The following is a 22310-nucleotide window of genomic DNA, read 5'->3' on the forward strand; positions in this document are numbered from 1 at the left end:
AACCTCTCTTTATATCATGATTCTTTTTGTATCATCATTATTTTTATTTCTTCCCAACTTTTATTTTAGGTTCAGGTGATACATGTGCAGATTTGTTACATGGGTAAGTTGCATGTCACAGGGGTTTGGTTTACAGATTATTTTGTTACCCAGGTAATAAGTATGGTACCTCTTAGGTAGTTTTCCCTATGATCATTATTCTGAAGTCATAGATAAGCTTCTTAAAGTAAACCATTTTACTGAAGTATAGCAGATGTGAAAAAAAAGTGTACAAGTCATAAATGTTCACTCAAAGAATATTACAAAGTAAAAACATCTGTGTAACAACACCTAGATTAATAAAACATTTGCTTCACCCTAGAATCCTCCTTTATGTTCTCCTCTAATCATTACTTCTATCCAAATATAACTACTATACTTCTATCATCATTGTTTAGCTTTCTCTGGCTTTCAGCTTTATTGGCATGAAATGAAAGAATGTACTTGTGTCTGATTTCATTTGCTCAACATTTTGTTTCTGAGATTCATCGATGGTGTTGCAGAAAGCAAAAATTTATTCATTTTATTTTCATCGTTGTATAGTATTCGGTTGTATGGATACCACAGCTTTATTTATCTACTGTTGATTGACATTTAGATTGCTTCATTTGGGGTTTTTATGAGTAATGCCGCTACGAATATAGTGTACAGATGTACATATTTCTATTGAGTATATGGTTATCTAATCCGATTGCTGGATCATAAAGTATGCATATGTTCAATTTTAATAGGTACTGCCAAATATTTTTTCAAAGCACTCACATCAATTTACACTTCTACTCTAATGTTCCCGTTGTTCCACCCTGTTGTCTACACTTGGTATTGTCAATTTAAAAAAAATGGTATGCTGGTGGTTGTGTATTGGTATTTCATTTGGGTTTTAATTTGCATCAAGCTTACGACAATGATATTTAGCACCTTTTCTTTTTTTTTTTTTTTTTTTTTCAGCCAATCACAAAAAACAGACTTTATTGAAGTATTTAGCACTAAACCCCACACAATTCCAGCTCTGTAGCTGAGGACACAGCCACTTGGCAATGGCACCAGGTGTTATACAAGACCAATAAGTTAATGTAAAGGACGCTTAGGTGTGGAGGGCCAGTGCTCAGCCGTCTCCTGGCTCAGTACAAGGCACTCTGGGCTCCAGTTAGGACACTGAGAGGCCAGGGAAACCAACATGCCCTGGAGAAAGGGGCTTAGAGACAAACCGGAAAAGCACAGCATCCAAGCAGGGTATTCACGCATGGGGGGCAGAGTAGGCCCAAAAGTTGGGGGTTGCTGATGCGGTAAGAGCACAGTGAGAGAAATGCCAGGTGCATCCCTTCAGCCTCCTGCATCCTCCCCCAGGTTCCTTTGATGGGCCATCCTGGGTCTTCCCTTGGCACCCTTGTGCAATCGGCTACATCGTTTTCTTTCCAGTAGAGAGAACTGTGCCTCTTCTAGGTCAGACACCAGAGTTCTTGGAACCTTCTGCTATATTCACAGTCTGTTCCAGTCCAGGTAACATGGGGGCAGAGAGTTCTGCACAGGTGAAGTCAGAACTCAGCTCTCCCTACCTCTCCTAGCCTCAATTCAGTTGCTTTCTCATTGAAGCAGGTCCCCTGACCTGGAAGCAAAGAAGGCCCTAGGATGAGAACCCAGGGACAGCTGGGTGGTCTTAGCACAGGCAGCTTCCAGACTTGCTCCAGTCGCTGCAGCTGGGACAATTAATGAATGCCCCCAAAGAAAATTCAGCATCTCATCAGCCCTTGGGAGTGAGTATGTCCATGTTTGTATAAATAACCACCTTCTCAGAGCAGAAGCATAGCTGGTGGGGGGAGTAGGAACTGTGACTCCCTCTCCCAACCAGAACATGCCACAAAAGTGGTGCCTTTCCAAAACCACTTGTAAAGTATTGGTTTTTGGGACTATGATGAAAAAACGTTAGAAGGGCCAGGTGCGGTGGCTCATGCCTGTAATCCCAGCACTTTGAAAGGCCAAGGCAGGTGGATCACTTGAGGTCAGGAGTTCGAGACCAGCCTGGCCAACATGATGAAACCCCATCTCTACTAAAAATAAAAAATTAGCAGGCATGGTGGTGCTTGCCTGTAATCCCAGCTACTCGGAAGGCTGAGGCAGGAGATTCGCTTGAACCCGGGAGACGGGGGTTGCAGTGAGCCGAAATCTTGCTACTGCATTCCAGCCTGGGCGACAGAGCGAGACTCCATCTCAAAAACAAACAAACAAAATGTTAGAAGGAGCAGTGGGGCTGCAAGCCCTTGAGATGCCCAGAGGTAGCTGTCAAAGGGTGGCTGCTGTCCACTAACCACAAGCATGGATCAGCCCCCAGCCGGACCCCCTGAGGCTACAAACCGTGATGCCACTGACTCAAAGCTCAGGGGTCTGGGAGCCCACAGGGCATAGACAGGGTATAGTGACTGGGTCCCTAAAGAGGATTTAGGGGGTCAGGAAAATAGCAGGGTCTAGCAAGACAATACACCACCGGGATATACTGACCTTTGACCTACCACTTGGTGTGTGCATCACAGAGCACATTAGAAAGGGGGAAGAGATTCTCCCCCAGCCCAGGCTGGGGTACCCAGAGACCTGGGAAATGGGGGAGAGTCATGTGCATGAGTATGTACCATGTCCAGCCTCCAGCAATAGTGGGACAGGAGGGCCAGGGGCAGTTCCCCAGGGAATTTCTTAGAACCAGAGCACAGAGTGTTGGAGAACTCCCAAGGTGGCCCACTCTGCTTCACTCGTCCCCTGCCACTTGTCTTATATAAGGAGATAGAGGCTGTCAGTCAGACAGGCAAGGCCTTAAGTCCAGTAGGCCAAACTCTGGGGGATAAAACATAATCATATCACAGGGGTATTGAGGACAATCCACATATATAAATCCTTAGGTCAGGGCTTCTGAAAAAAGTCGTGTAAAAAAAAAATAATAAAAGGTCTCAGCTCCAGGTCATCGGCCTGCGATGGGGATGGGGAAGCTGAAAGAGGCACTCAGGGGTGGGGGGGTCTCAGCCCAGCCCCTCTATGAAACAGTTTTTTCCAGCGTGGGGCGCAGAGTTACACCTGGCTGATGATCTCTCCTTTTTCAGGTACAAAGACTTGCACAGGGGCCCCGTCAGGCGATCTCCGCAGCACACACACTGTGGGCACCTGTGCCCGGGGTCCCAGGGCTCGCCCGAAGCCCTCTCTCCCAAGGGGCAGGCTCCTGACCCGGAAAGCTCCTTGGCGGTCCAGTGAGTGGGGGCGGGTGCTCCGGAGGCGTGCACGCTCGTGCCACCACTTGAGCTCCTCGGACACGGCGGCCTTGCTGAGCCCCCGGCCTGCCGGGCTGTCCTTCAGGGAGGGCGTCCGCACGATGCGGCTGCGAGAGGGCACCAGACGCTGGTAGCGCAGGGGAGTGCCCTCCTCCTCGTAAGCAGGGCCCGGGACTGCGCGGCACAGCTCCCACTCGCCAGGCGGCAGGGGGCTCTCAGCCACCACCACGTACCGCCCCGCCGGGAAATAGCCAGGCGGCAGCAGTAGCTTGGGGTGGTGGGCGACCAGCTCTCTGCTGCCGGCTGGGACCCAGGCCCCGCGGTATTTAGCACCTTTTCTTATGTGTATTAGCCATTTAAATATCTTCCGCTGCACAGTGCACTTTCAAATCTTTTGCCCATTAAAAAATGAACTTTCTGTCTTGTTCTTACTGATTTGTATATTCTGGATATGAGTTCTTCATTGGAAATATTTGTCTTGCAATTATCCTCTACCTTTTTGTGGACTTTTAGTTCTCTTAATTTTTTAATGAAGAAAAATTCTTAATTTTAATGTTATTAAAATCCAATTTGGTATCCTATTGAAATCTCTGCCTATGCCAATATCATGAAAATTCTCTTATGTCACCTTCTAGAAGTTTATTGTTTTACCTTTAACAGTTATGTCTATAATTTATCTGGAATTGATTTTTTGTGTATGGTATAAGATAAAGGTTCAGATTTATGAATTTAATAGTATAAGAACTCTACACAGAAAAAAAACAAAAACAATTAAAACAAAATTAAAACCTAATTAAGTGAAGATATATCATGTGAGTAGATCAAGTCAATATCACAAAGTTATCAATTCTCCCTAGATTGATATACAAGATTAATGGAATCTCAATGGAAATTTCAGTAGGCCAACTTAGTAGAAATTTCCAAGCTGCCTTTAAAATTTATTTGAAAATACAAAATGTTAAAATTAGTCAAAATAGTCTTGAAGAAAACAACAACGCTGGAAGACACACACAATCATGTATGAAAACTTAACAAGTTTCAGTAATCAAGACAATATGATTTGGTTTAATGATGGTTAAATAAAACAATGGAACAGAAAAAGAGTCCAGAAACTTATCCACACCTACACAGTCGCTTAAATAGTGACAAAGGCTCCAGCACAGTGCAATGGAGTAGGATGGTCTTTTTCATAAATTATGCTGGATCAATTGATTATTCATACAGAAAAATTGCTAACTTTAACCTAGCATTGTTATATAAGGCATTCTAAATGGCATTGCTTCTGTTCATTATTTCTGTTTTCTGCAAGATAAACTTTCTTTATGATCAGGTATATTGACCCTGCTTTCTAAGTTCAAAAGGTTTTTTACACACATCTCTTTCTATTTTGGGCTTTTTATAGTGTTATGTTTAAGAGCCTGAGTTCTGGGATCAGAATGCCTGGATTAAATTAACATCTCCAGACTTACTAGCTATCTGACCTTGGTGCAAGTTATTTAATCTCTCTGTGCTTCAGTTTTTTCTCTCATAAAATAGGGACAACAATAGTATCCACATGACAGATTGCTGTGAGAATCAAGTGAGTAAAGATTTATTTTAATCTTTCATTATTCTCCCTTCTGTTATTTTACCATGAGCTTTTGCAGGTTTTCATCTAGTGTTTATGTTTCTTCTTCATTGGAGATACTGCTTTTCACAGGTCTTCTCACCATGGTCAAATGAAATTACAGACTGGACCATTAAACTGTATAATCAGCATTAAACTAAAAATAACCTTCATTGAATGTGGTGAGTTGGTTTCAATTTGTACAAGGCACACAGGCTTTGTGTGTTAATGATGTAACCAATAGAAGATCAAGCGAGACTGTGTCTTCAGGATTCTATTTTGGTTACTTTCAAAAAAAATTGTGGCAACTGGGGGACTTGAGAAACCAGTCAAAATTTTTTAAAAAATTAGTTTACTAATTATATAGGTGATATATAAGAACACTTCCAAGTAAAAGTTTCAAGCATGATGAAAATACAAATAAAATAAATAGCTAAGGCTTCCTTCATTTTCCTTCTTTCCTTCTCATTTCTTCTTCCACATGGGGCAATACGAAAAGTTTTGCATATATTTGTCTAGATTATTTTTAATATATTACATAGATAGGTGTATCTACAGAAATTTTTAAAAATCTAAAATGACCATCTTATATATACAAAATCTTATAATTTTACAGGTTACTTTTTTCCTACTAATAGTGTATCTTGGTGAATTTTTTATATCAGTATATATAGATATTTAAAATTCTTGTTTATTTACATATAATGTTATTTATGTTTCCATATATGTTTCCACATCTATTTACATATGTTTATTTACATATATGTTGCACTTGCACAGCTATACCACACTTGCATGGCCATACTACAATTTATATAACCATCTCCAACTTGATGGACATATAGGCTGTTTATAATATATGTTTGAACACATATCTTTGCTTATTCTTGAATAACTGTAGATTCCTACAGGTGTAATTGCTGGTTTAAAGGTATGCATTTTTAAAGTTTTAATTTTTTTATTATTATTATATTTTAAGTTCTAGGGTACATGTGCACAACGTGCAGGTTTGTTACATAGGTATACTTGTGCCGTGTTGGTTTGCTGCACCCATTAACTCATCATTTACATTAGGTATTTCTCCTAATGCTATCCCTCCCCCCTCCCCTCACCCCATGACAGGCCCTGGTGGGTGATGTTCCTCGCCCTGTGTCCAAGTGTTCTCATTGTTCAATTCCCACCTATAAGTGAGAACATGCAGCGTTTGGTTTTCTATCCTTGCAATAGTTTGCTGAGAATGATGGTTTCCAGCTTCATCCATGTCCCTGCAAAGGACATGAACTCATCCTTTTTTATGGCTGCATAGTATTCCATGGTGTATATGTGCCACATTTTCTTAATCCAGTCTATAATTGATGGACATTTGGGTTGGTTCCAAGTCTTTGCTATTGTGAATAGTGTTGCAATGAACATACGTGTGCATGTGTCTTTATAGCAGCATGATTTATAATCCTTTGGGTATATACCCAGTAATGGGATGGCTGGGTCAAATGATATTTCTGGTTCTAGATCCTTGAGGAATCATCACTGTCTTCCACAATGGTTGAACTAGTTTACACTCCCACCAACAGTGTAAAAGTGTTGCTATTTCTCCACATCCTCTCCAGCATCTGTTGTTTCCTGACTTTTTAATGATCGCCATTCTAACTGGTGTGAGATGTTATCTCACTGTGGTTTTGATTTTCATTTCTCTGATGACTAGTGATGATGAGCATTTTTTCATGTATCTGTTGGCTGCATAAATGTCTTGAGAAGTGTCTGTTCATATCCTTTGCCCACTTTTTGATGGGGTTGTTTGTTTTTTTCTTGTAAATTTGTTTGAGTTCTTTGTAGATTCTGGATATTAGCCCTTTGTCAGATGGGTAGATTGCAAAAATTTTCTCCCATTCTGTAAGTTGCCTGTTCACTCTGATGGTAGTTTCTTTTGCTGTGCAGAAGCTCTTTAGTTTAATTAGATTCCATTTGTCAATTTTGGCTTTTGTTGCCATTGCTTTTGGTGTTTTAGTCATGAAGTCCTTGCCCATGCCTATGTCCTTAATGGTATTGCCTAGGTTTTCTTCTAGAGTTTTTATGGTTTTAGGTCTAACATTTAAGTCTTTAATCCATCTTGAATTAATTTTTGTATAAGATGTAAGGAAGGGATCCAGTTTCAGCTTTCTACATATGGCCAGCCAGTTTTCCCAGCACCATTTATTAAATAGGGAATCCTTTCCCCATTGCTTGTTTTTCTCAGGTTTGTCAAAGATCAGATGGTTGTAGATGTGTAGTGTTATTTCTGAGGCCTCTGTTGTTCTGTTCCATTGGTGTATCTCTCTGTTTTGGTACCAGTACCATACTGTTTTGGTTACTGTAGCCTTGTAGTATGGTTTGAAGTCAGGTAGCATGATGCCTCCAGCTTTGTTCTTTTGGCTTAGGATTGTCTTAGCAATGCGGGCTCTTTTTTGGTTCCATATGGACTTTAAAGTAATTTTTTCCAATTCTGTGAAGAAAGTTATTGGTAGCTTGATGGGCATGGTATTGAATCTATTAATTACCTTGGGCAGTATGGCCATTTTCATGATATTGATTCTTTCTATCCATGAGCATGGAATGTTTTTCCATTTGTTTGTGTCCTCTTTTATTTTGTTGAGCAGTGGTTTGTAGTTCTCCTTGAAGAGGTCCTTCACATCCCTTGTAAGTTGGATTCCTAGGTATTTTATTCTCATTGTAGCAATTGTGAATGGGAGTTCTCCCACGATTTGGCTCTCTGTTTGTCTGTTATTTGTGTATATGAATGCTTGTGATTTTTGCACATTGGTTTTGTATCCCGAGACTTTGCTGAAGCTGCTTATCAGCTTAAGGAGATTTTGGGCTGAGACGATGGGGTTTTCTAGATATACAATCATGTCATCTGCAAACAGGGAAAATTTGACTTCCTCTTTTCCTAATGGAATACCCTTTATTTCTTTCTCTTGACTGATTGCCCTGGCCAGAACTTCTAACACTATGTTGAATAGGAGTGGTGAGAGAGGGCATCCCTGTCTTGTGGCAGTTTTCAAAGGGAATGCTTCCATTTTTTGCCCCTTCAGTATGATAACTGGCTGTGGGTGTGTCATAAATAGCTCTTATTATTTTGAGATACATTCCATCAATACCTAGTTTATTGAGAGTTTTTAGCATGAATGGCCGTTGAATTTTCTAAATTGCCCTCCAGAATGGCTGTGCTGACTTACATTTTAGTCTACCATATTTAAGTCTATTTTCTCATAACCTAATTAGCATTGAACAATAACAGTTTTTGCCCATCATTTCTGATTTAATTGGCAAAAAAATTGTATCTTTAGTTTTATTTCTCTAGTTTCTATTTACTAAAGAAAATACTTCTATTCTTTGATTATTAGGGATGTCAAATATCTTTTCAAACATTCATTGTAAATTTTGTTTATATATCTGTGAAATACTTTTTAATACCCTTTTTTCACTTTCTCCAGGATTTTTTGCCCTTTTTAAATTGATTTCTATAAACTTTTTAGGAATTATTGCTATCAGTACTTTGTGTGTAATACATGTTACAAATGTTATTTTCCATGTTTGCTTTTAATCTCATTTTAATATATTTCAATATATAAAGTTTTAAATTTTATGCAGTAATTTTTACTTTTTTTAAACACACACACACACACACACACACACACACACACACATATATATATATGGCTTTGTAAGTGGTTTAGAAAAGCTTTCCTCACATCAAGAATATAGATATATTCTGTATTTCATTATAACATTTGTATAGTTGACTTTGTATCCTACAACTTTACTAAATTCAATTATCAATTCTAACAAGTTTTTGATGGTTTTCTCTATATGAGATCATGTCATCAGAAAATGGAGACAGTCTCACTTCTTTCTTTCCTATGAGGATGCTTTTTATTTCTTCTCATGCCTAACTGCTGTGGTCAGGACTTCCAGTACTATGTTGAAAATAAGTGGGGAGAGAGGACGTTTCTTTTCTTCTCTCTGATTTTTCAACTTTTCCTCATTGAGGATGATGTGAGCAATGGGTTTATCATATTTGGCCTTTATTGCGTTGAGATACATTCTCTCTATGCCTAATCTATTGAGAGTTTTTATTATGAGAGGGTGCTTAATTTTGTCAAATGCCTTTTCTATATCAATTGGGAAAATCATATTATTTTATCCTTAATTTTGTTAATGTGGTGTATCACATTTATTGATTTGTGTATGTCAAACAGTCCTTGCATCTCAGAAATAAATCCCACTTTACCAATTGTGGTGAATGATTCTTTCAATGTGTTTTTGAATTCAGTTTGTTAATATTTTGTTGAGAATATTTGCAGGTATGTTCATCAGAAATATTGGTCTATAATTTTCTTGTCCTTATCTGGCTTTGATATCAGAATAATGATAGCCTCATAAAATGGGCTTGGAAGTATTCCTTCTTTGCTTTTTTGGAGGAGTTTGGCAATGTTAACTCATCATTGCATCTGGAAGTTTTTCTTTCTATATGGTGTGAGGTATGGATCTAATGTTATATTTTTTCATATGAATTTCAAATATCTCAGAATTATTTATTGAATAATCTATCATTTCTTCCTAATATGCAATGTCCCTTAATATTATATATTAGACTACCATGTGTGTTTATGTTTGCTATTGGACTCAACTCTATTTCCTTGAATTTTTTTATTCTATTCTAATTCTTCACTATTTGATTATTATGGATTTATAGCATGTCTTAATATTTAGTAGAGCAAACATCCCTCTCACTGTTTTTTTCCATTTTTTTTTTTACTGTGGTAAAATACACGTAACATAAAAATTTATTATTTTAACTATTTTAAATGGCTAAGGCTCCCTTCATTTTCACTGGTATTAAGTACATTCATACTGTTGCTTAACCATCACTACCATCCATCTCCAGAATTCTTTTCATCTTGCACAACTGAAACTCTATACCCATTAAACAATAATTCCCCATTTCAACTTCCCCAGCCCCTGGCAACTACAATTCCATCATTTCTCTATCTTTTGATTCTCTAAATACCTTATATAAATGCAATCACATAGTATTTGATTTTTGTGACTGGCTTATTTCAATTAGCACAAGTCATCAAGATTCATCTATATTGTAGTATATATCAGGATTTATCTTTTTAAGGTTAAATAAAATTCCATTGTATGTATATACCACATTTTGCTCATTCATTCATCTATTAATGGACACTTGGGTGGTGTCTACCTTTTATTGTTTCTATTCTTTTTTTGTTTTTGTTTTTTTCTTTCTTTTTGGTCTGCCTGAGTTATTTCAGAAGACTTGTCTTCAAGTGCAGAAATTATTTTTTCTGCTTGGTTTAGTCTTTATTGAAGCTCTCAATTGTGTTTTTTATTTCATTCATTGAATTCCTCAGCTCTAGAATTTCTGTCTGGTTCTTTGTTAAACTTCTCACTTGAATCATGAATTGTTTTTCTGATTTGGTGTACTGTCCATCTGTATTCTCTTGTATCCTACTGTTTTCTTAACATGATTATTTTAAAATTTTTTTCTGGTATTTTGTGTATCTGTTAGTAGAGAGTTATTGTGTTCCCCTGGAAGTATCATATTTCCTTGCTTTTTCATGTTTGATGTGTCACTACACTAATTTCTATGCATCTGGTGGAACAATTGCCTCTTTGAATTTTATGAAGTAGGTTTCATAGGGAAAGACTTATTGGCATGAGTAGGTCTTGGGGTGTCGGTTGGGTAGAATGCATTGGCTTTGGATCTAGGTGGATGCAGTAGTGTAGTCTCCATGTAGTTTGTTCCAACTGGAATCCATACTCGTGAATTTTGCAAGTGTTTCAGTGGCCTAAGCTATGAGAGCGTGTGGTGGTAATGCCATGGCTTTGCCAGGTATAGACTTGCCGGACTGCCTCTCAAGTTGGGGGCACATGCATGCACATGACATGTCAGCTAACCTGGGGTCTGGATCACTAGGGTTGGAGCCATGGGTCTGTTACTCTGGCCAGGGGCATGGGCATGCGACTATTTAGCTGGCTTGGAGGCAGGTCTGCCTAGGATTGGATGGGCTTTTTTTCTGGTCTGGCATGTGGGCACAAGACTGCTTAGCTACATTGGGGGCATATCTTTCAGCAGAGGCTTGTGGGGCTGTTTCTCAGGCCCTTAGTTCTGGTGCAGGGCATTCAGCAGGCCAGAGGCATGTCTGTGTTGAGAAGGGTAACTTGGGGCTCTTTCTTGGTCACAGGATACAGGCACAAGGCTGCTTTGCTGGCTTAGGAATATGTCTGCTGGGGGTAGCCCATGGGGTTGTGTCTCAGGCTCTGGGTATGGGGATGGCATGGGGTCATTGGGCAGGCCAGGGGTATGTCCATAAGGTTAATGGTGGGGACAGGGCTGTTTTTCAGGTCTTGGGTGGGGACACTTGTAGCTGCTCTGCTAGCCTGGGGGTGTGTTATCTACTTGCTGGCTTGTGGGCCTCTCCTGGTTGCAGGAGAGACACAGTGGTTAGGCCATTTCAACAGAGGTTTTGTCCTGAATGGGGCTGCAAGACTGTTTCTCTGGCTGGAATTGTGGGTGGTGGGGGTTGGTTTTCCTGCTATGTGGGACCAGAGCCACAGCTGATCCTAGGCCCCAGTTTCACACAACTGGGTTTGTGGCATTCAGTCATTCATGTGGGCTTGGTGGAATGAAGAGACAGCTCCAGGGCTGGAGGGGTGCAATAGCAACTGGTCCCATGAGCAGGGTACACTCCACAAATGGCTCTGGTGTCAAGATGGTGCCATGGTGCAGCAGCTTGGCTCACAGTAGATGGGTAGGGAGTGGGGCGTGCACACCTTATGATCCTAATCTGGAGTAATGCAGCTTCATGAATTCCCAGCAGCTCCCCAAATAATGTTCAGGTTTTGGAAAGACTGTGCGATACTTCTGTAGGGAGGACTGCAGGTGCTTGTGGTGGCATTGGGGGCCAGTGGGAATCTTCTGCCTATCTTTTCCCTGAAATGGGAAGTTATTTCTGACTCCAGGCCAATATGCGTGGGGGAGATGGGGCTGCAGAAGCAGGGTGACTCCATGTGACTTCCTGGGCTTTCCAATCACCACAGGTACTTCTTTACTCCCTGCCTGTGCTTTAGTTTTCTCCCCTCAACATTCCAGCCAAATCTTATTTTTTTAATTTGTTGCCTTGGTCCTTTCTTTTCAGGGGTGAAGGAAATGAGTACCAGGCACCTCTAGTGTGCCATCTTGCCTATGTCACTGTAAATTAATTGGCTTCTACATTTTAGTTATTGTGAATAATGTTGCTATGAATGTAGGTGTACAAATAACTCCTTGAGACTCCACTTTCAATTCTTTTGACTATATACCCAGAAAAGGAATTACTGGATCATATGGTAATTCTAATTTTAACTTTTTTGAGAAAGTGCCATACTGTTTCCCACAGAGGTTATATCATTTTACTTTTCCAACAACAGTGTACAAGGGTTCCAATTTCTCCACACCCTCACCGAAACAATGATATTTTCTTTTTTTTTTTTGGTGGTAGCTATCCTAATGGATGTGTGGTGGTATCTCACTGTAGTTTTGATTTGCATTTCCATAATGATGAATGATGTCAAACTCATTATATTTTCATGTTGTTATTGGCCACTTGAGTGTCTTCTTTGGAGAAATTTCTATTCAAATGTTTTGCCCATTTTGAATCAGGTTGTTTAGTTTTATGAGTTCTCTATATATTATGGGTATTAATTTGTATAAGACAAATGGTTTGCAAATATTTCCTCTCATTCTTTGGGTCGTTTTACTCTGTAATAGTGGTTTTTGATGCACACACAAAATTTCCAAATTTTCCTGAAGTGCACTTTGTCTATATTTTATTTTGCTGCACGTGCCTTAAGCATCATTTCCAAGTAATCATTGTCAAATCCAATATTTTGAAGTTTTAACCATGTTTTCTTCTAAGAGTTTTATAGTTTTAGGTCTTACATAAAGGTCATGGGTCTATTTTGAGGTATTTTTTGTATATGATGTTAGTTAAGGGTCCAACTTTATTCTTGTGCATGTAGAGATCCAGTTTCTCAAAGAAAAAGCACATAGTTGGATCATGTTTTTTGATCTGTTCTGCCAATCTCTGTCTTTGATTAGAGAGTTTAATCCCTTTACATTTAAAGTAATTACTGATAAGAAGGAACTTACTTCTGTCATTTTGCTGTATTTTTTTTGTATAGCTTTTCTAAATATCTGTAGCTTTGTTGTCCTATATTATTGTCTTTTGTGTTAAGTTGATTTTTTAAAATAGTGAAACATTTAAGTTATTTTCTTATTTATTTCTGTGTATATATTTTAGCTACTTTTTTTATGTGTTTACCATGGGCATTATAGATGAACTCCCAGAGCTATAACACTATAATTTGAATTTATACAAACTTAACTTCCATAACATTCAAAAACTCTATTCCTTTAACAACAGTTCCATCCCCATCTCCTTCCAGCTGTTGATATCACAGTATTACATCTTTATACATTGTGTGTCCAAAAACATGAAATATTTTTAATGCAATCCAAAGTTAAAATAATATTAGTTTTATACTAATAACTGTTTTTAGTAGAAATATTATTCTCGTAAATCATTTAGAAAACAAAAAGTGGAGTTACACATCATGATTACAATAATACTAGCTTTTATAATTCCCTATGTATTTACCTTTACTGAGTCTTATTTCTTTATAAGGTTCTGAGTTACTGTCTAGTGTCCTTCCATTTAACCAGCAGGACTTCCTTTTGCATTTATTTTAGGGCAGATCTAGAGGTAACAAACTCCCTAAACTTTTGTTTATCTGGAAATGTCTCAATTTTTCCTTTACATTTGAAGTACAATTTTTCTGAATGTAAGATTCTTGGCTGACACTTTTTTTTTTTTCCACTTCGAATATATCAGCTCACTGGCTTCTGGCCTCCAAGTTTTCGGGTAAGAAATCTGCTATTAATCTTATTGAGGATCCTTGTGTGTGATGGATTGCTTCTCTCTTGTTGTCTTAAAACTTCTTTTTGTCTTTTAACAGTTTGATTATAATGTGTCTAGATGTGGTTCTGTTTGTGTTCATCCTACTTGGAATTTGTTGAGATTCTTGGATGTTTACATTCATGTCTTTCATTAAATTTCAAAAGTTTTTGGCCATTATTTTCTCAAATATTGTCTTTTTTCCTTCTCTCTCTTGGACTCCCACAATATATATTGGTCTGCTTCAGGTGTCCCACAGGCCCCTTAGGCTCTGTTAACTTTTAAAAATTCTTTTTATCTTTCTGTTCCTCAGACATGTAATTTCCAGTGACCTATCCTCAAGTTTGCTGATTCTTTTTTCTGCCTACTCAAATCTGCCTTTGAATCCCCTTAGGAAATTTTTAGATTTTCGTTATTGTACTTAATTGTACTTTTTACTTTTCTGCTCCAGAATTTCTTTTTAGATTTTCTGTGTCTTTATGGATATTTCCATTTTGTTCATGTATTTTCTACCTGACTTTCCTCACATCTTCCTTGAGTTCTTTGAGCATCTTTAAAACAACTGTTTTAAAGTCTTTGTCTGGTAGACCTGCCATCTTTTTTAGGGACAGTTCTGTTGTTTTATTTTTTTCTTTTGAATGGGCAATACTTGCCAGTTTTTGTGTATGCCTTGTGATTTAAAAAAAAAAAACTGAATTTGAATTAAACAATGTGGTAATTCTGGAACTCAGACTCTCCCTTTTTCCCCAGAATTTGCTGTTTTGTTTTTGTTTTTTGGTGGTTGTAGTCTGTCTCTGAGCTGAGGATTAGTCTTAGGTCTAAGCTTAAGGCATTGTCAGGGTTTTATTTTACTTTTTTTCTGAGCCTGTGCCTTCCCCTGTGCATGCATTGTGACTTTCTAATTTCACCTGTGAAGTGGTGGTTTTTGAATGTCTTAGTCTCTAAAGTCTGGCTCCCAAAAGAGAAATAAGACAAAAATAAAGAGGTTAAAAAAAGTGTTGGCCCTTTAAATCCTTTGGAAGTCACTTCAGCCAGAGGGGGAGGGCTTACAATAATGTGAGGAGGTGCAATCACAATGGTTTCCACCTCTTTGCCTTCTCTGATTAGAAACAGCGATCAATCAGTCATCAGAGTACAGATGCAAGATATTTAGAGAACAGGGTCTTTTATTGCCAATCTGGCTCTTGCAAGTTGTAAGTTGCTCCAAGGACACATGCATAGCTGCCTGCCATGGTGCTGAGGGGTGAGGAGTAGCTATTACTGTGCTAAGAGATAAACATGACAGAAATTAACCAAAATTTATCATCCAAGCCTTCCCCTGAAAGTTGCAAACCTTCATAGAATTCAGATTTCCAAAATAGTTACATCAGACAGATTTTGCCAGTGCAATTGTTGTCTAAAAGGAGAGACAGATTTCTGAAACTTCCTACTCTGTTTTCTTCCTAGAATCCTCTAAATTCTTACCATTTTCTTAATAAATTAATTTTTGAGCAATAAATTGTACAAGTAAAATCCTTAACTCCCTGACATGGTGTGAATTTTAATTAAGGTTTATTAAATTAACTGATTATTTTATGGATGATTCATGCCTTAGATATTGATTCTCTACAACATGGGTTGCAACTACTGCCTGTCGGCCTGCTCCTGCTTAACACCTGCTTTTGTAAACAGTATTTTTTTGGGGTAGGGAACACAACCCTGCCTATTTATTTACATGTTGTTTGTAGTTGTTTTGGTATTACAATTGCAGAATTTAGTACTACTAGTAGGAACCATATGGCCTACATTATATAAAATATTTACTATATTTTCCTTTATAGAAAATGATTAATACCTACTCTACAGAAACATGTATTCAGTTGGAATTTTTTAGTTCTTGCCACATAGGTGTTATGTATTTTATATTAGGTTCATAGATAAGAATTTAGAGTTTCTAATTGTAATTGTAAATATAATAATATTTTTCTAAATTTTTCCATTGGAGAAGAATTTTATATATTACTTTTATTTCTGGACTCTATTGAATTATTTTATTAATCCTACTGCTTTTAAGCTAATTCCTTAAGATTTTAATCAGTCAACAAATAATAGCACTTTTCTCCTCTTTCCAAAATTTTCATCTTTCAATTTTCTTTCTTTTTTTTCTTGACTTGGATAAGACCTCCAGCATAGTTATTCAATGCTTGGAATGCCACTTGTCGTTCTTCTTTTGTTCCTAACTTTAATAAGAATGCTCTTAATGTTTTGCTATCTAACACAAAGTTTGCTACAAATTTTTAATAGATACTATTTATCAAGTTAGGGAGGTTCCTTCTATTATTAGTCTTCTAAGATTTTTATTAACATTCTTAATGAGGGTTAAATTTTATCAAATAGTTTTTCTTCTTCATCTCTTAATATGTGAGTTACATAGCTGTTAGGGGAGAGAAAACCTACCGAGACAAAGTATATTACACGTTTAATATGCTACCCAATTCAGTTCACTACTATTATGCTAAGAAATTTTGTATGTGTATTTACAAGTATAACAGGTTTATGCTTTTTTTTTCTTATGCTATTTCCAATTTTGGTGTCAAGTTTGTACTTACAGAATGAATTGGGATTCTTTCTATCCTTTATATGTCATAGTACCATTTATGTAACTTAGGAAAAGGAAATATAGTCAACACTAACCCTACAATTGAGTGTTCTCATAAATCATGTTTTACACGAAAAATGTTATTTAAGTGTCACAGATAATTCCCCAAACATAATAATACCCACTGTAATCTAGGATGACGAATAGATTCATCAGACTTTTGGTTTGACAGCAAAGCAGAGAAACAGGTGGTCTGTTCCTGTAGCAAAAATAAAAAGAGAAGCTGACCACCTGGGCTGCAGGAAGGAAACTGTCTATCATAGGAGTTTGTCTTCAGAAAATTATTTTAAGTGAGATTTTCCTATCTTAGAAATGGCCTGTATTAGAAGTCAAATGTAGCCTTGAAGGTCATGAATGATTATGTATCAAGTAAATATACTTGCTTTGAAAATATTTTGCCTTACCTTATTAATTCCAGCACCTTCAGTTTTACTAATAATTCCTTTTAAGCCAAAAGCCTTAAGAATTTCTGTAGCCATATTGAGCATAACATTAATTTCTTCCTTTGTTTTCACAGTGACAGCAATTTCTGGGTGATCATACTCTAAGTAGCCTAAAAAATAACAAAATATTTTTAGATTAAATAAGAACATTGTTTTAAATGTTTTATGTGGACAATAAGCTAAGTTTCTGTTCTAAACCCATGGAATACCGCCCTCAACACAGAGAAATGTATCTCTTCCTGAAGGGGCCACTATGATCAATCATAATTCACTAGTAGTGCCAGAGTTCTGCTGGATGTTTTCTTGGCAGCACTCATACTTGTGCCCAAGTCCATGGAGAAGGATAGGTAGCTTCGTTTCTAGGATTAACAGGTATACTTTTCTACCTGCACTGGACACTAGGAGGCTGCTCAGGGCTATATGTCTGGAGTTCATGACTCATTTTCTTATTCTGTGTGAATCAGAATTTTTAACTACAGATGATTTTGTGATTAAATACGGCTTCTGATTACTTCCTTTCACTCGTCTTAGGTCATCGTCCACTCAACCTGCCAGTGCATCTAGATGACTCATACATTTATGCTCTTCTGCCCATTTCATCTGGATTCCTGAAGTCCATGAAAATTTCATCTTAGAGTCTACATTTGGGCTTTTCCTTGACCATAACCTCTTATCTGGCTTGGTAACTACCTGTCATAGAAGATCTCTCAAATGACCTCATCTCCAGGTTTGCTGTGTCCTTTTGTAGCTCACCACATGGTATAAAATTTTCTTCTCCTCCTATACATGAACATTGTACTGTAGGGTTGTGACTGTGCCACTCTTAAGATTTGTCCTGCACCAGGAGCGTGACTTGGCATGACTCAGAGAATAGGCTATTGCCATGTTTGACACTGGGCCTCCCAGCAGATATAACAGGATTCTGCAAGATTGTATTCTAATTTCAACTCATGTAAGACCTAAATCCTTAAATGGCAGCTCTGTGGCAAGTAGAGGAAAAACGTAACTTCTTTTCTTGTGTCACTCAGGAAGGTACATGTATTTCTGGTTTGGAAAAAAATGGAATTTACAAGACTATAATGACATACATAATCATAGCATGCCAACTTGTCTAAAGAGAAATCAAAAGGCCTTCATTGTTGCATGAAGCAGAGAGAGAAAGTGTGAAGCGATATTACACTATTTCCATCTCAACTAGAAAATAAGATTGCATTGATTGTTGAGGTTACTCACTTCAGTATTGTTAGTGAGTAGGTTTCCTCAAAGATTAGCTCGAGTTATGAAAACCATTGCCTTTCTGAAGTGGTGATGATAAGAGATGGTCATGCTAAATAGGATGAGAGCTACTTACCTAGCTCTTTTATAGCATGTTCCATATTCCTTATCACTTGCTTTAATAACATCTAAGGAACAAAAGAAATGTTATCCCCATTGGAAAAACAGACTGTTATAAAATGTCCTTACATTTGCAACTGATGGATTTTTAACCTAAGTTAATAGTTTTAAGAGAAGTAGGATGAAGAGGTTTTCAGGGGTTCGAATTGAATTTTGTGCCGCAGCACTTTTTGCTTCAGCTAAAGTAATAGAGAAGATAAGAGGTATAACCTAGCCCAATTTTGAGACATCTGAAGGTGAGTCATGATTCTGAAAAGTGCAGGCATGGTATTAATTCCTAATATAATTTGGATGTTTGTAATATGAAACGTTATAAAACTTAATTTGTCAAAGGGAGCTAAAATTTAAGATACAAACATTAGCCCAACAGAAAATTGTAGCCATAAAACTAGTAAACTGATTTTAGTCTATGTTTTATGAACATAGGTAGGTACTTTCCCATTCGGCTTTATGAGAGCCCCCAGATTTGTGATTCCAGGATGGCTTGCAATCTTAAGGGATTAGAAATTTTGGCCAAGGTGAACGAAAGTAGAAATTAGGGATAATAAGACAATATTTTAGGGACTCAAGTCTTTTCATATTTTCTCCTGTGTGTCTCCAAATTCAAGTGCTAAATATCAGTGGTTAGAAAAGGTAATAAAACATAAGAAAATAGTTTTAAAGTTGCAGGAGGTGAAGAGAGGAAGATACTACTTTTTGTGTTCTACCACATATTGAATGTTCAGTTTCTCAATGACAAAGTTTTGGGCACATAAAATATAGCATTGAGATGTTTTAAATCGTCTTGAAAAGTAAATATTGCATTCCACATAGCTGACAAACTTATGGGCACATATCGGTTTTAATCTGTCTCAATCTAGAAAGTAAAAATAATATCTAGAATTTAGGCCTTAGAATTATCTTTCCTGCTTACTCACTATGGAACTTTGGGCACAATCATTTAACCTCTCTTGGCCTCCTTTTTCTCATCTGCATAATGACAAAATCAAACTAGGTTTCCCTCTATTTTAATTATTGTTTTCTTTACTTCTTTCTATTTGCTGAATCACTTGTTTTTATTTCCTTTACTGTTTAATGTGTAGAAAACAAGGATAGAGAGAGATGAAAGAAGCTTTTGGGCATTATGAGGAAGCCCTGTTTTCTCCACCCTGCCTTCACTTCTCACCTTCCAGTACTTCCTATTTTACACACCCATAGCCTGACAGATCTTAGAGCTTGCATTGGGAGAAAGCTAACCACTGCACTTGGGTTTTGTGATAGCCTCCACAAAGACAGAAGTGTGCCTTATAGGAGCCTTGTAACTTGCTAATATGGCACAGTTCATTTCAGAAGGAGGCATTTGAGTAATTTAAATGTAACCTAGTTTAAGTTTTTAAAGAAATGAATTAGAAAACCAGGAGTCAAAGACATCTGCATATATGAACAGAAAAAAATGATGGATGAGGGCAACTGAGGGCTGAGTGAACTCTTTTCTTAGGATTTAAGGTTTTCTTACCTGTTTAATCTGTTTAGAACTTGTAATCTGATCAATTATGGTCATTATGTCTGCTTCGCCTTGGACATAGCCTTTTAGTATTCCATACCAAAAGGTCTTCTGATGACTCATTCTTTTATCTATTATTTGCAGCAACTTTGGTGCTATGAGCTGAATTAAACAGGACTTCCATTAATATAAATTGCACAAATATCATTTTATGATATGTTGATTAGTTTAATCAAAATAGTTAATAATAAGAAATTAAGTGCCCTCAAAGGTAACTACAATAACCTGTCAAGGTTCTTTGTTATTTTTTTAGTGGTATCTTTATAACTTCATGACTATAGCTATTTCCCTATAACTAATAATTTGGGGGTACCTATGTGAAATTTATGACTTTATTCTTTACTTATTTTCCTTATAGAGAATTGGATGCTATTTTCAACTGGTTTCAATTCTTGGAAAACAATGCAATTAATCTTCTGTGCTTAGGTCATAAAATGACTAAATTACTGCCATTTTTGCATGCTAAATCTCCTATAACACCTCCTACTTGATGGTCTGGTCAGGTGAGAAACCACCACAACCATACTGCCTGTTAGACCCCAAAATTAACTTCACTTCTCTCTGTTTCTTTGCTGAGGGTTGAAGTCTCCAGGTTATCAGCTACCATTGTGCAGTCCCCTAGCTTCTGCAGAGTTCATTGATCCCTTTGTTTTTCTATCTATGTTCCACAACCTCCATACTCTACCCTGCAACTACCTGCCACTAATCTCCAAAGGGTTTACACTCATCTTTCAAGATTCAGCTCAAGTATCACCTAATAAATGAAGTCTTTTCTCATTCTGTGCATACTCCTGTTTTGCACTTATCCTACCATATAACATTTCAATATCTAGATTACTCGTGATTTTTCTTCTACAATAAGCTTTCCAGGGGAAGAGACAATATCTAATTCATCTTCATATTCCAAGGACCTGTGATTTAACATAAGACCATAGTTCAGAGTTTTCTGAATATATCAACAAACTTTTCTAAGTTGTTTTATTAGTTTCTTCATCTGAACTATTTGTTAGGCTCTGTATACCTTCCTATCAGAATTAATTCATCAGTGGAATACACTAGACTCGCCTTCCTCAGGTAAATTGTACTCTAGCACTACTTATGATCCCTTAGAATACCGAAAAAGCAGACTACTGGTTCTGTACTCTTTGACCTAGTTGATTTATGCCTCTCAGTAGCAAAAATGTTTTAAATTATTCCTTGCATGTGTAAGAAAGATCTAAATGTAAAGATTCTATTAGTTTTATCTCCATACAAACTATGTTTTATTTAACTGTATCACTCACAGTGCTTATATATGCATGTATCTTGTTTGTGTATGAATAGTGAAAAAGATAGGAAAGAGAGAGTATATCTGCATTCATATATATACTTATTTGTGGAGGAGTGAGTTTCATGTCATTGAAATAATCACACAGAAAATAACCACCCATAATATTTGTTATAGAAACATGTTATTAGACAATCAAAGGTTATTTTTGAAACCATATTTCTATAATACTATATGTATTTTTTCCTTGATTTGTATAAATGTAGGATATTTTCTTTGTCCCTATAAATAGTTTGCATGGTTGTTTTGTTAACTTCCATCTTTTATTCCCCAAATATCTATAAAAATAAACATTACATGGAGGTTAACTTACACTTGCATTAATATAGAATTTCTCATGTGCTGTCTATTTAAAGGAAAAGTTGTGATGAGTATGTCTATACTTTCACATGCTAAACAAATTCCTAATATAATTGGGATGTTTGTAATATGAAATGTTATGAAACTTAATTTGCCAAAGGAAGCTAAAATTTAAAATATAAACATTAACCCAACAGAATATGTTAACCATAAAACTAGTAAACTAATTTTACTCTATGTTTTATGAAACAATCAGTAGGAATTAGAAATTGCACGATTTACTGGTTCTTTACCTTGAAAATGCGTAGTATACGAAAAAATTGAACAACTTTTATAAAGACTATTACTTCAGTCTCATTAAAAATATACTTAATGGTGTCTATTTCAATAAGTATTACATGTAAGATGCCAATTAATGTAATTGCTAACTCGAATATGTTCCAGGCATGTGAAAAAAAGTCCTTCCTCATTGCTGCTATCTGTTGATTTAAAAGGAAATTACATTATCATGTTTGTTTCTGCTTTTACTACACCATTTTCCACAATAATTTAAACATCATGTTAGGCTTTTCTCTTATCTACTCCACATGTATGAAATATCCTCAGGAAACCAAAATCAAACAAACAAGTTCATCAAATTTATCTTGTAATAAAGGAATACTCCTAGAACTATTAATTTAGGATTGGGTTTAAAGGACAGGTATAATGAAAACAAACAAATGTATATAATGACACCAGTAAAAAGTAGCGACAATGAAAAGGCAAATTCAGA

General features: G+C 36.9%; 1 protein-coding gene, 1 long non-coding RNA gene and 1 pseudogene across 14 annotated transcripts in view, besides 2 other annotated features; 1 reads left to right on the forward strand and 2 right to left on the reverse strand.

Moving 5' to 3' along the window:
- SLC9C1 (solute carrier family 9 member C1) overlaps nucleotides 1-22310 on the reverse strand; it is a 153319-nt gene that overhangs the window by 41489 nt on the left and 89520 nt on the right. For 7 of the 13 annotated variants that reach the window (XM_011512718.2, NM_001320531.2, XM_017006248.2 and 4 more), the window contains 4 exons: nucleotides 21832-22017; nucleotides 19864-20013; nucleotides 18325-18376; nucleotides 16935-17083 (listed from right to left, as the gene is read on the reverse strand). In XM_011512718.2, the coding sequence (XP_011511020.1) occupies nucleotides 16935-17083; nucleotides 18325-18376; nucleotides 19864-20013; nucleotides 21832-22017 (537 nt within the window). Of the gene's footprint in view, nucleotides 1-7991; nucleotides 15158-16655; nucleotides 16730-16934; nucleotides 17084-18324; nucleotides 18377-19863; nucleotides 20014-21831; nucleotides 22018-22310 lie in introns of those variants that run through there. The other 6 variants (NR_135297.2, XM_017006247.2, XM_047448022.1 and 3 more) reach the window with 5 other exon arrangements.
- LOC124909407 (uncharacterized) lies at nucleotides 580-21546 on the forward strand. Its single transcript, XR_007096003.1, has 2 exons — nucleotides 580-4869; nucleotides 17505-21546. It is a non-coding gene; the product is annotated as an uncharacterized LOC124909407 (long non-coding RNA).
- Nucleotides 2812-3405: an enhancer, noted in NCBI's record as "H3K27ac-H3K4me1 hESC enhancer chr3:111904045-111904638 (GRCh37/hg19 assembly coordinates)". NCBI's record gives its function as "activates a minimal SCP1, AML or CMV promoter by ChIP-STARR-seq in primed H9 embryonic stem cells {active_cell/tissue: H9 hESC(primed)}" and the evidence as "EXISTENCE:reporter gene assay evidence [ECO:0000049][PMID:30033119]".
- On the reverse strand, nucleotides 2897-3614 carry INAVAP1 (INAVA pseudogene 1; annotated as a pseudogene).
- Nucleotides 3406-3998: an enhancer, noted in NCBI's record as "H3K27ac-H3K4me1 hESC enhancer chr3:111904639-111905231 (GRCh37/hg19 assembly coordinates)". NCBI's record gives its function as "activates a minimal SCP1, AML or CMV promoter by ChIP-STARR-seq in primed H9 embryonic stem cells {active_cell/tissue: H9 hESC(primed)}" and the evidence as "EXISTENCE:reporter gene assay evidence [ECO:0000049][PMID:30033119]".

The sequence above is a fragment of the Homo sapiens genome, chromosome 3 (genome assembly GCF_000001405.40).
Source record: "Homo sapiens chromosome 3, GRCh38.p14 Primary Assembly".
Classification (NCBI taxonomy): domain Eukaryota; kingdom Metazoa; phylum Chordata; class Mammalia; order Primates; family Hominidae; genus Homo; species Homo sapiens.